Source organism: Homo sapiens, chromosome 19, assembly GCF_000001405.40.
Source record: "Homo sapiens chromosome 19, GRCh38.p14 Primary Assembly".
NCBI classification, from domain to species: domain Eukaryota; kingdom Metazoa; phylum Chordata; class Mammalia; order Primates; family Hominidae; genus Homo; species Homo sapiens.
In genome coordinates, this window is record NC_000019.10 from 54390853 (window position 1) to 54407525 (window position 16673).

The 16673-nt window shown below is 47.8% G+C and overlaps 1 annotated feature.

Moving 5' to 3' along the window:
* Window positions 597–1144: an enhancer, noted in NCBI's record as "NANOG hESC enhancer chr19:54903053-54903600 (GRCh37/hg19 assembly coordinates)". NCBI's record gives its function as "activates a minimal SCP1, AML or CMV promoter by ChIP-STARR-seq in naive H9 embryonic stem cells {active_cell/tissue: H9 hESC(naive)}" and the evidence as "EXISTENCE:reporter gene assay evidence [ECO:0000049][PMID:30033119]".

Below are 16673 nucleotides of genomic sequence, written 5' to 3' on the forward strand. Positions count from 1 at the left end.
TTTTTGTTCCATTTATTTTTAGCAGCTTTGTTTAGCTATAATTGTTCTACTAAAAAACCTTCTCACTTAATGTACACAATCAGATGAATTTGGACACATGCAATAACCCCTTGGAAGACATTCACGTGCATGCGTTGTTGGTTTTTCCGCTTCTTACGGGAACTCCTTTCAGGCATTTCCATCTCCACGCTACACATGGGGAAATAGAGGCTCACAGAGGAGAAAGGACGTGGTTCAGGTCACACCTGTCCCTGGTCCTCCAGGCTGAGGAGCAGAGAGACCACCCACCTTAGTGCTGGAAGGGTTTAACACATAGCTTGGGCTCCCTCTTGTGGCCACAGTGGAGAAACTCCCTGCTTAGTTCATTTTTATTTTTTCCATCTGGCATTCATTTTTTTCATTCAGTAAGTATTTGTTGGTCCTGTCCTGTGTGCCAGACACTGTTTGAGGCTCTAGAGGTCCACCAATATAGAAAACAAACACCCTTTCCATGGAAGAGCTTATATTCTTGCAGAAGGAGAGGGGCAGTAACCCACAGGCATTATACAGTCACAGTCAGCTAGAAGGTGAGAGTGATTTGGATAAATGAGAAAGTGCAGCGGTGGTCCAGGGGGTCTGGAGGGTGCAAAGCTCAGCAGGGGGAATAGTGTGGCAGTTGCAGACAGAGGGGTAGGAAGAGGGAAGTGGCAGGAAGAGAATGCAGAGGGGTGAGGGTTGGGGCCACAGGTCCTGTGTAGAGCCCTGTTGGTCACCATGATCACCCTGAGTGAGCTGGGAAGTAACACAAATGACTCCAAATAGAAGCGCCTTCATGGAGCCTTCTTCTTCCCAGACTTCAACTAGAAACCTGAGCTGCCTGTCACAGCAGGGGACGTGTCATCCCATTAGACTTCAAACGTCCTCAGCAATTCCCTGCCCCCTTCTTTCTAGGAGTCAGGATTCCTCAGCCTTGCTCTAGAACTGCATCTGGTGACCCCTAGAAACCTGTCCTGGAAGCCTTACAAGGCTCTTCACACTCACAGTTTGTGATATGACCCCAGAGTTGTGCAGTGCACAACCTACACAGCTGGACACGATGGGCCTGGCACTCTTCCTCTGTGCTCCCACTGCACTCTGTGCTGACTATGTCATTCCACTGGGTGGTGCCATGTCAACTTCTCTCCTCTCCTCTCAATATCCTGTAAGGATAAGATAGGATCAAAGTTCTACCCACGTCCCTGGTACTCAGAAGAGGAGCTGAAACATTGGCGACCACTCATTAGCACTCTACTTAACAAAACAAATTGCCCAGGTAGTTATGATTAGATTTCTATAAAAGGCTGAATAATTACAGAAAGGCTCTAGAAACTAGTGTATAATTATGTACAGGCGCTGGCAGTGTGTAGAGTCATGGAAATCAGCTAAGGAATCGCGGTGCAGTCTCAGGAACCAGCTGGATAATTGCACCAGGAGCTCCCAAAACCAGCTGGATAATTATAGTGGAGTCCCTGGAACTCAGCGGGTAATTACCATGTACTCATGGAATCAGCAGTAATAATAGAAGGGTCCCAAATGCAGACACTAGGGAAAGTCTGGAGACACTTTTGATTGTCACAACCCAGAGGAGAGGGGGATGCTTCTGGGTGGTGGGGGGTGGAGGCGGGGGATGCACAGGACAGCTCCTCCCCCAAGGAATAACCTAGCCCCGAAAGTCAACAGTGTTACCCAGAAAAAAACAGGGTTCCTTTGCCTGGTGAGGAGCAAACAACTCTCCCGAGAATGCAGGTGATGTGGTTTGGCTCTGTGTCCCCACCCAAATCTCACCTGGTATTGTAATGATCCCCACGTGTCGATGGGGGGCAGTGACTCACGCCTGTAATCCAAGCACTTTGGGAGGTTGAGGCAGGCAGATCATGAGGTCAGAAGATCGAGACCATCCTGGATAACACAGTGAAACCCGTCTCTACTAAAAATACAAAAAATTAGCCGAGCGTGGTGGCGGGCAGCTGTAGTCCCAGCTACTCGGGAGGCTGAGGCAGGAGAATTACTTGAACCTGGGAGGTGGAGGTTGCAGTGAGCTGAGATCACGCCGTTGCACTCCAGCCTGGGTGACAGAGCGAGACTCCGTCTCAAAATAATAATAATAATAATCCCCACGTGTCATGGGAGGGACCTGTGGGAGGCGACTGAATCACGGGAGCAGGTTTTTCCCATTCTGTTCTCGTGATAGTGAATAAGTCTCACGAGATCTGATGGTTTTATAAATGGGAGCGCCCCTGCACGCTCTTTCTTGCCTGCTGCCATGTAAGACGTGACTTTGCTCCTCCTTCATCTTCCGCCATGATTGTTAGCCCTCCCCAGCCAAGTGGAACTATGAGCCCATTAAACTTCTTTCCTTTGTAAATGAACCAGTCTCGGGTATGTCTTTATTAGCAGCATGAGAACAAACTAATACAGAGGTTTTGATCAAGAAGAGTTTTATGACTTGACACAGCTAAGGAAGGCACTGGGTGTATTCTTCAAAGCAGTGTCTCCCTGAGGAAAAGGGACAGGAGGGCTCTATGGGGTGAGGGAGCAGGGAGAGGGCGCGTCGTTGTATGTGGAGGAGGGTCCCAGTCACGCAGATGCAGCGAGTCGTCATACCAGCACACGGGTCGCATGTTACGGTAACGAGACTACAGCTCCTCCCGGGATGGAGACTTGAGCGCAGCAGTGCAGAAAGTTCACTCGGGTTCATCTCTAAGTTGCCAGGGCCCGTCAGAGGCTGGTTCCAACCAACGAGTGGCCGCATTCCACACAGGGTTTGGAGAAAAACAGGCTGCAGGGCAGAAGGCTGTGAAACAGGCTGATTGCTCAAGTTGATTAAATTCCTATAATCCCTGGAGACCCTCCCTGTCTCCATACAGTAGTGCTTGGGTTGAGAAATTTTCTTTAAAAGACTATTTTTAGCCGGGCGCAGTGGCTCACGCCTGTAATCCCAGCACTTTGGGAGGCCGAGGCGGATGGATCACGAGGTCAGGAGATCGAGACCATCCTGGCTAACACGGGGAGACCCCGTCTCTACTAAAAACACACAGAAAAATTAGCCGGGCGTGGTGGCGGGCGCCTGCAGTCCCAGCTACTGGGGAGGCTGAGGCAGGAGAATGGTGTGAACCCGGGAGGTGGAGCTTGCAGTGAGCTGAGATCGCGCCACTGCACCCCAGCCTGGGCGACAGAGCGAGACTCCGTCTCAAAAAAAATAAAATAAAATAAGAATAAGAAGAAGAAAGAAGAAAGAAGAAGAAGAGGAAGAGGAAGAGGAAGAAGAGGAAGAGGAGGAAGAGGAAGAAAAATGTTTTAAAAAGACTATTTTTAGAGCAGGTTCAGGTTCATAGTAAAATGAGGGGAAGGTAGAGATTTTCCATGTACTCCCTACGCCGACACCTACATAGCTTCCCCCATTACCAGCGTTCCCTACCAGAGCGGTATTTTTATTACAACTGATGAGCCTGCATTGACACATTGTAATCACCCAAAGTCATATTAGGGCTCGCTCAGTCTTCCTGTTGCACATCCTATGAGTTCAGGCAAATGTCTAATGGCAGGCACCCACCGTCACAGTGTTAGACAGAGGAGAGCCATTGCCCTAAAATTCCTCTGTGCACCACCTATTCATCCTTCCTTCGCCCAACCCCTGGCAGCTCTGATCTTTTCCTGTCTCCATACTTTGCCTTTTCCAGAATGTCATATTGTTGGAATCAGACAATGCGTAGCCTTTTCAGATGGGATTCTACCACTTGGTAATATGCATTTAAGGTTCCTCTGTGTCTTTTCATGGCTTGAGAGCTCATTTCTATCTATCTATCTATTTATTTATTTATTTATTTATTTACTTATTTACTTATTTATTTATTTTTGAGATAGAGTCTCGCTCTGCTGCCCAGGCTGGAGTGCGGTGGCTGTGATCTCGGCTCACTGCAAGCTCCGTCTCCCAGGTTCAAGCGATTCTCCTGCCTCAGCCTCCCGAGCAGCTGGGATTATAGGCACCTGCCCCCACGCCCGGCTAATTTTTGTATTTTTAGTAGATGGGGTTTCACCATGTTGGTCAGGCTGGTCTCGAACTCCTGACTTTAGATGATCCACCCGCCTCGATCTCCCAAAGTGCTGGGATTATAGGCGTGAGCCACCATGCCTGGCATCATTTCTTTTTCTTTTCTTTTCTTTTCTTTTTTTTTTTTTTTTTGTTGTTGTTGTTGTTGTTGTTGAGGCAAAGTTTCACTCTTGTCGCCCAGGCTGGAGTGCAGTGGCACGATCTCAGCTCCCTGCAACTTCCGCCTCCCGGTTTCAAGTGATTTTCCTGCCTCAGCCTCCCAAGTAGCTGGGATTACAGGCGCCTGCCACCACGCCTGGTTAATTTTTGTATTTTTAGTAGAGATGGGTTTCCCCATGTTGGCCAGGCTGGTCTTGAACTCCTGACCCTGTGATCTGTGGGCCTTGGCCTCCCAAAGTGCTGGGATTACAGATGTGAGCCACCGTGACTGGCTAATTTTTGTGTTTTTAGTAGAGATGGGGTTTCGCCATGTTGGCTAGGCTGGTCTCGAACTCCTGACCTTGTGATCCGCCCGCTTCGGCCTCCCAAAGTGCTGGGATTACAGGCATGAGCCACTAGAGTCTCTTTGTGAAAAGGAATGGAAGGATGTGGTGTGATGCAGCACGCATCACCAGGTCCCTGTCATAAATTTGCTTTTGTGGCCGGGCGCGGTGGCTCACGCCTGTAATCCCAGCACTTTGGGAGGCTGAGGCAGGCGGATCCCCTGAGGTCAGGAGATCGAGACCAGCCTAGCCAACATGGCGAAACCCCATCTCTACTAAAAATACAAAAAATTAGCCGGGCGTGGTGGCAGGCACCTGTAGTCCCAGCCACTCGGGAGGCTGAGGCAGGAGAATAGTTTGAACCCGGGAGGCGGAACTTGCAGTGAGCCGAGATTGCTGCACTCCAGCCTGAGCGACAGAGCGAGACTCTGTCTCAAAACAAAACAAAAAAAGCTTACCCTCCATGATGCAGCAATCCCACTACTGGGTATATGCTCAAAGAAACTGAAACCAGTGTGTGGAAGAGATGTCTGCACCCCTATGTGTATTGCAGAGTTATTCACAATAGCCAACATATGGAATCACCTAAGTCTCCATCAGTGGACAATGGGTAAAGGAAATGTATATATACACAGTGGAAATACTATCCAGCCTTAGAAAGGAAGGAAACCCTGTCATTTACAGTATGGATGTAATTGTCAACCTTCAGGACATCATGCCACATGAAATAAGCCAGATACAGAAAGACAAATATCGCACAACCTCACTTATACATGGAATATTAAAAAGTTGAACTCAGGCCTTCGAGACTAGCCATGGCCAACATGGCAAAACCTACTCGGGAGGCTGGGCACGGTGGCTCACGCCTGTCAGCACTTTGGGAGACCAAGGCGGGCAGATCACCTGAGGTTGGGAGTTCGAGACCAGCCTGACCAATATGGAGAAACCCCGTCTCTACTAAAAATTCAAAATTAGCCAGGCGTGGTGGTGCATGCCTGTAATCCCAGCTACTCGGGAGGCTGAGGCAGGAGAATGGCTTGAACCTGGGAGGCGGAGGTTGCAGTGAGCCGAGATTGCGCCACTGCACTCCAGCCTGGGCGACAGAGTGAGACTCTGTCTCAAAAAAAAAAAAAAAAAAAAAGTTGAACTCACAGAAGCAGAGAGCGGAATGGTGGTGACCAGGGGCTTGGGAAGGGGAGTAGGGATTGGGAAGATCGTGGTCAGAGGGTACACAATTTTAGATAGAAAAAAATAAATTCAAGAGATCTGTTGTGCAACATGGTGACAAATTAGTGAAAATGTATTATGTACTTAAACATTGTTAGCAGAATAGATCGTAAGGGCTCTCGCCACACACGCAAAAATGACAACTATGTGGCCACGAACGGTGGCTCACACCTATAATCCAAGCACTTTGGGAGGCTGAGGCAAGTGGATCACTTGAGGTCAGCAGTTTGAGACCAGCCTGGGCAACATGGCCAAACCCCATCTCTACAAAAAATACAAAAATTAGCCAGACGTGGTGGCACACACCTGTAATCCCAGCTACTCGGGAGGCTGAGGCACAAGAATCACTTGACGTGGGAGGTGGAGTTTGCCGTGAGCTGAGATCGCACCACTGCACTCTAGGCTGAGTGACAGAATGAGACTCTGTCTCAGAAAAAAAAGTGAGGTGATGGATATGTTAAACATCTTGATTATGGTAATTATTTCACAATGTGTACATATGTCAAAACATCATGTTGTACACCTTAAATATATACACTTCTCTTTTTGAGACGGAGTCTCGCTCTGTCGCCCAGGCTGGAGTGCAGTGGCGCAATCTCGGCTCACTGCAATCTCCGCCTCCCGGCTTCACACCATTCTCCTGCCTCAGCCTCCCGAGTAGCTGGGACTACAGGCGCCCGGCTAATTTTTGTATTTTTTTTTTTAGTAGAGACGGGGTTTCACCGTGTTAGCCAGGATGGTCTCGATCTCCTGACCTTGTGATCCACCCGCCTCGGCCTCCCAAAATGCTGGGATTACAGGCATGAGCCACCGCGCCTGACCAAATATATACGCTTTTATTTGTCAATCATATCTCAATTAAGCCAGGAAAAAATTGGTAAGGCTACTTTTGGAAACACTTTGACACTATTTCAAAAAATTGAAACTAACAATCCCTATAGCGCAATCATTCCATTCTTATATGTATACTCTTTAAAAATTCTTGCACATATGCACCAAGAAACATGTAAAAAATGTCTGTTACGTAATAGGGAAAGTAAAATAAATAGAAATAGAAAAGTAACTAAAATAAAAGAAGCCCATGTGTTCATCAACAGGTACAAAAATACAAAAACTGTGATATAGACCTATATTGGAAAGCTTCAAACTATGGCATTGAAAATGATTTCACGAATCATTTCAAAAAAAAATTCATGGTTTCTGTTGTCATTTTTACCAAGTTCATTCCAATATGTGGTTTAGAGACACTATTTTAAACAAATAAGGGGCCAGGTGCAGTGGCTCACGCCTATAATCCCAGCACTTTGGGAGGCTGAGGCGGGCAGATCACCTGAGGTCAGGAGTTTGAGACCAGCCTGGACAACATGGTGAAACCCCGTCTCTACTGAAAATACAAGAATTAGCCAGGCATGGTGGTGCGCGCCTGTAATCCCAGCTCTTCGGGAGGCTGAGGCAGGAGAATTACTTGAACCTGGGAGGCAGAGTTTGCAGTGAGCCGAGATCATTCCACCGCACTCCAGCCTGGGCAACAGTGTGAGACTCTGTCTCAGAACTTAAAGTAGAATAAAATAAAATAATAAAATAAAACAAATAAGGGAACGACAAGCACAGTTACTTCTGCAGAGGAGGAAAGTGGAGGATGAGAATGGAAGGAGATTCCAGGTAGATGAGGTGGTCGGGATGAGATTGTAGCTCTTAATTGGATGGTGGGCTAAGTGAGGCCGTTTCGTTAATGTTTCATGATTCAAGCTGTTTTATAAATTCTCTTTTATTTATGAAAAATACATAATACATGTTTGGTAAAGTGATCAAACTTTCTTGATCAAGATATCAAAAGAAAGACCCAAGATTTTATTTTCTATTTCTTTCTTTTTCTTTTTTTGAGACGGAGTCTCACCCTGTCACCCAGGCTGGAGTGCAGTGGCTCGATCTCAGCTCACTGTAAGCTCCACCTCCCGGGTTCACGCCATTCTCCTGCCTCAGCCTCCTGAGTAGCTGGGACTACAGGCACCCGCCACCACGCCTGGCTAATTTTTTGTATTTTTAGTAGAGATGGGGTTTCATTGTGGTGTCAATCTCCTAACCTCCTGATCCACCCGCCTCGGCCTCCCAAAGTGCTGAGATTACAGGCGTGAGCCACTGCACCCGGCCTCTCTTTATTTCTATATGTATCAGTTAGCTATTGCTGTGTAACAAATCACCTCAAAGGGAGCAGCTTCAGACAACACACGTTTATTGTCTTGCGATTTCCGTGAATCAGGGATCTGAGCACAGCCCGGCTGGGTCTTCAGCTTCAGGGTCTCTCCCGGGCTGCAATCAAGGGGCCAGCAGCTTTGTGGCCATCTCAAGGTTCTGTTGATTTCATGGTGTTGCTGGCAGTTCAGTTCTTTGCTGACTCTTGGCCAGAAGCCACCCCTCAGTTCCTTGCCATGAAAGTTTTCTGCAACAGGATAGCTTTGTTTCATCAAAGTATGCAAACTAAGCAGGCAAAAAGAGTCTGCTAACAGAATGCAAGTCACACAATCATCCTTAAAAGGACGGGATTACATGATGCTATAAATACCAGGAGGTGAGGATTATTGGGGACCATCTGGGAGGCTGCCTACCACACCGCACAAGGCAAACCTTATGAATATGTATGGATTATATAGGTTGCTTTCAGGCTTCCACCAAAAATAGGATTGCCTTACAGCTCTACCAGCCTAGGACCCACCCCAGCAGGTGTGGCTTGCTTGTTTTAAGGGAGCAGAGACAGAGGGTTCCTTATATCCCACAGCCAAGCCCTTACAGGCACAGCAGGGCAGCTGCTTAAGGTGGAGAGGGAGTCTAACCGGTTTTCTTACCATGCTTAGGGCAGAAAACATAATCTCTATTTTGCCATGTAAGACTCACCACTGAGCAGTCCCTCTCTTTCCTCTGTATTACACTGACACTTCACATAAACCTCTAAACCTCATATAACCTCTAAGCAGAGATAGGCTTCATAAAGGAATTTAGCCAGAATGCCACATTATTTTTCCTTGTTGCAGAGAGTAGCATCTATCTTATGGGAAGAGTCATAGAAAGGCCCTGCAGAATTTGCTGTAAGAAAATAGTCAGGCCGGGCCAGGCGCCGTGGCTCACGCCTGTAATCCCAGCACTTTGGGAGGCCGAGGCAGGTGGATCACGAGGTCAGGAGATCGAGACCATCCTGGCCAACATGGTGAAACCCCATCTCTACTAAAAACACAAAAAATTAGCCGGGTGTGTTGGCGGTTGCCTGTAGTCTCAGCTACTCAGGAGGCTGAGGCAGGAGAATGGCGTGAACTCGGGAGGTGGAGCTTGCAGTGAGCGGAGATCACACCACTGCGCTCCAGCCTGGGCCACAGAGCGAGACTCCATCTCAAAAAAACAACAAAAAAAAAAAAGAAAAGAAAATGGTCAGGCCGGGCGTGGTGGCTCATGCCTATAATCCCAGCACTTTAGGAGGCTGAGGCAGGTGGATCATGACGTCAGGAGTTCGAGACCAGCCTGGCCAACATGGTGAAACCCCGTCTCTACTAAAAATACAAAAAAAAATTAGCCAGGCGTGGGGTCAGGCGCCTGTAATCCCAGCTACTTGGGAGGCTCAGGCAGGAGAATAGCTAAAACCTGAGAGGTGGAGATTGCAGTGAGCCGAGACCGCACCACTGTACTCCAGCCTGAACAACAGAGGGAGACCCCATTTCAAAAAAAAAAAAAAAAAAAGGCCGGGTGCGGTGGCTCACGCCTGTAATCCTAGCACTTTGGGAGGCCAAGGCGGGCGGATCACCTGAGGTCGGGAGTTCGAGACCAGCCTGACCAACACGGAGAAACCCCGTCTCTACTAAAAAATACAAAATTAGCTAGGCGTGGTGGCGCATGCCTGTAATCCCAGCTACTCGGGAGGCTGAGGCAGGAGAATCGCTTGAACCCGGGAGGCAGAGGCTGCAGTGAGCTGAGGTCGAGCCACTGCATTCCAGCCTGGGCGACAGAGCAAAACTCCATCTCAAAAAAAAAAAAAAAAAAAAAAGGCTGGGCGCGGTGACTCACGTCTGTAATCCTAGCACTTTCGGAGGCCGAGGTTGGTGGATCATGAGGTCAGGAGATCAAGACCATCCTGGCCAACATGATGCAAACCCATCTCTACTAAAAATACAAAAATTAACTGGGTGTGGTGGCGCATGCCTGTAATCCCAGCTACTTGGGAGGCTGAGGCAGGAGAATCACTTGAACCAGGGAGTCAGAGGTTGCAGTGACGGGAGATCTCACCACTGCACTCCAGCCTGGGCAACACAGCCAGACTCCATCTCTTTAAAAAAAAAAAAGGCCCACATTGGGCCGTGTGATGGGGGATCCCACTCTCCACCTCAAAGGATAGAATGGATTCCACCTTTCCCTCCACAGAGGAAGGCAGAACCAGACTTCCCACTAAGACTCAGACTGACAGGGACCTCTTTCCAAGTAGCAAAAAGGTTCATACACGGAAAGCGGAAAATGACAAATTATGACTTGCCACGGTGCATAGCAGCCAAGGTGGTTCCCAAAATAAAACCTCTTCCCACACACTTTGTGCCAGGTGCCCCACGTCTTTTTTTTTTTTTTTTTTTTTTTTTTTTGTAATTAAAGGAGATCGACAAATCTGGGGTGAGAAGGTTGGTAGAGGATGAGTTTTTCCTTCAACATCTTATTATAAAAATTTTTCAAGCATAGAGAAGAGTTGAAAGAATCTTAGAATGAATACCCCATCCACACCACCCAGACACCCAGACTCAACCATTCACAACTTTTTTTCTTTTTCGAGACAGAGTCCTGCTCTGTCGCCCAGGCTAGAGTGCAGTGGCATGATCTTGACTCACTGCAACCTCTGCCTCCCAGGTTCAAGCGATTCTCCTGCCTCAGCCTCCCACATAGCTGGGATTGCAGGTGTCTGCCACCATGCCCAGCTAAATTTTTTTTTTTATTTTTAGTAGAAACGGGGTTTCATGATGTTGGCCAGGCTAGTTTCAAACTCCTGACCTCAAGTGATCTGCCCGCCTCGGCCTCCCAAAGTGCTGGGATTCCAGGCATGAGCCAACATGCCCAGCTAATTTTTGTATTTTTAGTAGAAACAGGGTTTCATTATGTTGACCAGGCTGGTCTTGAACTCTTGACCTATTGATCTGCCCGCCTCAGCCTCCCAAAGTGCTGGGATTTTCAGGTGTGAGCCACCACACCCGGCTGTTGCACACATCTTAAGTACACCATTAACTGTGTGGGTTTTTTTGTTTGTTTTATTTATTTATTATTTATTTATTTATTGAGCCAGAGTCTCGCTCTGTCACCAGGCTGGAGTGCAGTGGCACGATCTTGGCTCAAGCGATTCTCGGGTTCAAGCAATTCTCCTGCCTCAGTCTCCCAAGCAGTTGGGACTACAGGTGCCTGTCACCACGCCTGGCTAATTTTTGTATTTTTAGTAGAGACAGGGTTCCACCATGTTGGCCAAAATTGTCTCGATCTCTTGACCTCATGATCCTCCTGCCTCGGCCTCCCAAAGTACTGGGATTACAGGCGTGAGCCACCGTTCCCGGCCTAAGCGTGTTTTAAAATTATATACTGAAGCCCCTATGGAGACATAGAATATGGCCATTGTCACAGCAAGCTCCCAAATGCACCTGCCCAGTCACATCTTGCCTTTACTCCCCTGGAGGCTACCACTCTTCTGATATTATTATTTTTTCACTATAGACTAATTTCAACTGTTCTGGGACTTCACGCAAGCAGAATCATAAACTCTCAGAAAACTGAACTCTCCTCTCTGGCTTCTTCCACTCAGCTCAAAGTTTCTGAGATTCACCCGTGCTGCTGTGTGTGTCCACAGTCCGTTCATTTTCACTGCGGGGCAGGATTGCATTGTACGGGGTTCCGTGGTTTATTTATCCTTTCTTCCACTGATGAACACCTGGCTGTTTCCAGTCTTGGGGGCTCTTGTGAACAAAGCTACTGTTAACATTTCTATTTATTTATTTATTTTTGAGACAAAGTCTTGCTCTCTCACCCAGGCTGGAGTGCAGTGGCGCGATCTTGGCTCACTGCAACCTCCGCCTCATGGTGCAAGCGATTCTCTGCCTCAGCCTCCCGAGTAGCTGGGATTACAGACATTTGCCACTGCACCTGGCTAATTTTTTTTTTTTTTTTTTTTGTATTTTAGTAGAGACGGGGTTTCACCATGTTGGCCAGGCTGGTCTCCAACTCCTGACCTCAGGTGATCCACCCATCTCAGCCTCCCAAAGTGCTGGGATTACAGGCGTGAGCCACCGCGCCCGGCCAACAAGTCTTTCAATCACACCTTTCATGTGCAAACCAAACAGTCCAGAGCCCAGCCCCCAGCCACCTCCATTTCTGAGCTCTCACACTCAGGGCTGCTGTGCACCTGCCTTCATCACCCAGGGCCAGGAACCAGACCACTAGAGTAGGCCCAATGCCCCAGGCCCTGCTGAAATTATTCAAATTAGCTAATCACAAACCTGTTTACCCTGCCCCACCCACTCATTCCTGCAAAAACCAAATCAAGCTCTTGCCCTCTCTCCGCCCTCACTCCCTCTGCCTCTGATCCCTCGTGCTCTCCCGTGTGACCTGCATGCTCCCTCGGCCCTGGTGCTCTCTGGGTGTCCTGCCTGGCCTGGCATGTCCCTTCCTCTTGAGAACTGTGACAAACTGTCTTCTCAGTGGTCCATCTCATCTGCTGGGCCCCCCATACCTATGTATGAAAACATCTTGAAGCCGGGCGCGGTGGCTTACGCCTGTAATCCCAGCACTTTGGGAGGCTGAGGCAGGTGGATCATGAGGTTAGTGTCACGCGAGTCCGTGTGAAGAGTCCACCAAACAGGCTTTGTGTGAGCAACAAGGCTGTTTATTTCACCTGGGTGCAGGCGGGCTGAGTCCGAAAACAGAGTCAGTAAAGGGTGGTGGGATTATCATTAGTTCTTACAGGTTTGGGGACAGGCGGTGGAGTTAGGAGCAATGTTTTGCGGGCAGGGGGTGGATCTCACAAAGTACATTCTCAAGGGTGGGGAAAATTACAAAGAACCTTCTTAAGGGTGGGAGAGATTACAAAGAACCTTCTTAAGGGTGGGGAAGATTACAAAGTACATTGATCAGTCAGGGTGGGGCAGGAACAAATCACAATGGTGGAATATCATCAGTTAAGGCTATTTTCCCTTCTTTTGTGGATCTTCGGTTGCTTCAGGCCATCTGGATGTATAGATGCAGGTCACAGGGGATAGGATGGCTTAGCTTGGGCTTAGAGGCCTGACAGGAGTTCAAGAGCAGCCTGGCCAAGATGGTGAAACCCCATTTCTACTAAAAATACAAAGAATTAGCCAGGTGTGGTGGCATGCACCTATAGTCCCAGCTACTCAGGAGGCTGAGGCAGGAGAATTGCTTGAACCCGGGAGGCGGAGGTTGCAGTGAGCCGAGATCGCACCATTGCACTCCAGCCTGGGCGACAGAGCGAGACTCTGTCTCAAAAAAAGAAAAAAAAAAGAAAGAAAGAAAAGAAAAGAAAAAAGAAATACATTGGGTTTGGAAGGCCGAGGAGGGCGGATCACAAGGTCAGGAGTTCAAAACCAGCCTGATCAACATGGTGAAACCCTGTCTATACTGAAAATACAAAAATTAGCCAGGCGTGGTAGCGCATGCCTGCAGTCCCAGCTACTCAGGAGGCTGAGGCAGGAGAATCGCTTGAACCCGGGAGGCGGAGGTTGCAGTAAGCCAAGATCATGCCATTGCACTCCAGCCTGGGCTACAGAGTGATACTCTGTCTCAAAAAAAAAAAAAAGAAAGAAATACATTGGCGTGGTTCAGAAAGGTGGAACAACACAAAGGGTGGGGCGAGGCGTGCAATTTAAACATTTTCTGATTGACAATTGGTTGAGTTTTCTCTGAAGACCCGGAATCAATAGAAAGGAAATGTTCAGGTTAAGCTAAAGGATCGTGGAGACCAGGTTTTATTGTGCAGAGGAAGCTGACTTCAGAGAGAGAGGGCAGGGTGTAAAATGCTTCTTACAGGACCTAAAAGAGTGCCTGGGCCGGCCACGGTGGCTCACACCTGTAATCCCAGCAACTTTGGGAGGTCGAGGCAGGCGGATCACCTGAGGTCGGGAGTTCAAAGCCAGCCTGACCAACATGGAGAAACCCTGTCTCTACTAAAAAATACAAAATTAGCTGGGCGTGGTGGTGCATGCCTGTAATCTCAGCTAGTTGGGAGGCTGAGGCAGGAGAATTGCTTGAACCTGGGAGGTGGAGGTTGCGGTAAGCCGAGATTGTGCCGTTGCACTCCAGCCTGGGCAAAAAGAGTGAAACTCTGTCTCAAAAAAAAAAAAGAGTGTCTGGCTCTCCTGGGCCTGGAAAGGAAGAAGGGAAAACAAAGGAGAAACGGGGTTCTGTAAAGAATGTGGATTTTTCCCACAAGAGACTTTGCAGGGCAATTTCAAAATATGGCAGAGAAACATGTTTTGGGGTAAAATATTTTTATTTTCTTCCTTGTGTTGTAATGCTATGCCAGAGTCAGATTGGAAAGTAAGTCACACCATAGAGGATTAAATACAACCCATCTGATGAGAATTTATGGTTTGTAAGGCATGACTCCTCAAACGCCTTAGGTAGGAATTTGGGCAAGATAAAAAAATCAGAGCTTAGTTCTCAGGGGTCATGGCGGGACAACAGGAGAGAGCGTCTCACCCATATTTAAAAAAAAAAAAAAAGTGCAATGCAGGCTGGGCATGGTGCCTCACGCCTGTAATCCCAGCACTTTGGGAGGCCGAGGAGGGTGGATCACCTCAGGTCAGGAGTTCAAGATCAGCGTGGCCAACTTGACAAAACCCCATCTCTACTAAAAATACAAAAATTACCTGGGTGTGATGGCATGCACCTGTAGTCCCAGCTACTCGGGAGGCCGAGGCAGGAGAATTGCTTGAACCCAGGAGGCGGAGGTTGCAGTGAGCTGAGATGGTGCCACTGCACTCCAGCCAGGGTGACAAGAGTGAAAACTCTGCCTCAAAAAAAAAAAAAAAAGAATATTACAGTGAAAACCTAGATAGTTATCACCTGGATTCTAGTCTACTGTTAATCTTTTCTCCTTCCTTCCTTCCTTCCTTCCTTCCTTCCTTCCTTCTCTCTCTCTTTTTCCTTCCCTTTCTTTCTTTCCTTCCTTTCTCTCTGTTTCTTTCCTTTCTCTCCCTTCTCTTTTCCTCTTTCTTTCTTTCCTTTCTCTCCCTCTTTCTTTCTTTCCTTTCCTTTCCCTTCCCTTCCCTTCCACTCACTCACTCCCTCTCTCTCTCTCTCTCTCTTTCCTTTCTTTCTTTCTTTCTTTCTCTCTCTCTCCCTCCCTCCCTCCCTCCCTCCCTCTCTGTCTCTCTCTCTTTCTTTCTTTCTTTCTTTCTTTCTTTCTTTCTTTCTTTCTTTCTTCTTTCTTAAGACAGGGTCTCGCTATGTTGTCCCGGCTACAGTGTAGTGGTTATTCACAGGTGCAATCATACCCACAGAGCAGCCTTGAACTTCTAGGCTCCAGTGATCCTCCTGCACCAGCCTCCTGAGTTGCTGGGAGCACAGACTCATGCCACTGTACCTTGCTTAATATTTATCTTCCTTTGCCTTATTACCTATCCCTCCATCCATCCGTCTTATTTTCTTTTGTGATTAACTTCAAAAAGAGACTGCAGACACCACTACACTTTCTCCCAATACTAAGCATGCACCTCATTAACATTTTTCAGTAAAATTTTTATAGAGTGGAGTGCACAAATCTTTTTTTTTTTTTTTTGAGATGGAGTTTCACTCTTTCTCCCAGGCTAGAGTGCAGTGGTGTGATAGCTCACTACAACTTCCACCTCCTGGGTTCAAGCGATTTTCCTGCCTCAGCCTCCCGAGTAGCTGGGATTACAGGCATGCACCACCACAGCTGGCTAATTTTTGTATGTTTAGTAGAGACGGGGTTTCGTCATGTTGGCCAGGCTGGTCTGGAACTCCTGACCTCAGGCGATCCACCTGCCTCGGCCTCCCAAAGTGCTGGGATTACAGGTGTGAGCCGCCGCACCTGGCCAGAAATTCACAAATCTTAAGTGAGCGACAAATGCAGACACTGGTACAAAACGAACCCTCATCAAGATACAGAACGAGGCCCTTTATCCCAGGAAGTTCCCCCAGCCCCCTTCCCAGTCACCCTGACCCTACTCACCCAGAGGCAACCACTGTTTTTATTATTTTTGCTACCATATGTTAATTCTGTCTGTTTGGAAAATCATCTAACTGAACTCATACAGTGCATCCTCCTTTGTTTCTGACACTCAGCACAATAATTTTGAGACCGACCCATATTGCTGCATGCATTATTAGCTTGTGCCTTTTCATTGCTAAGTAGTATTCCATTCTGTGGCTATATTACCTATCTTGGTCCATTCCCCTGTTGATAGGCATACAGGATGTTTCTAGCCTGAGGCTATTATGAATAAAGCTGCTGTAAACAGTCTTGCAAAATTCTTGGTGTGGATAAATATTTTCTTTTCTTTTGGGTAAAAGTAGAATTGTTGGCCGGGCGTGGTGGCTCACGCCTGTAATCCCAGCAGTTTGGGAGGCCGAGGTGGGCAGATCACGTGAGGTCAGGAGTTTGAGACCAGCCTGGCCAACATGGTGAAACCCCATCTCTACTAAAAATACAAAAATTAGCCAGGCATGGTGGTGTACACCTGTAGTCCCAGCTACTCGGGAGGCTGAGGCAGAATAATCACTTAAACCTGGGAGGCAGAGGTTGCAGTGAGCTGAGATCATGCCATTGCACTCCAGCTTGGTGACACAGTGAGACTCCGTCTAAAAAACAAACAAACAAAAAAGAGTAGAATTGTTGGGTCATGGGATAGGTG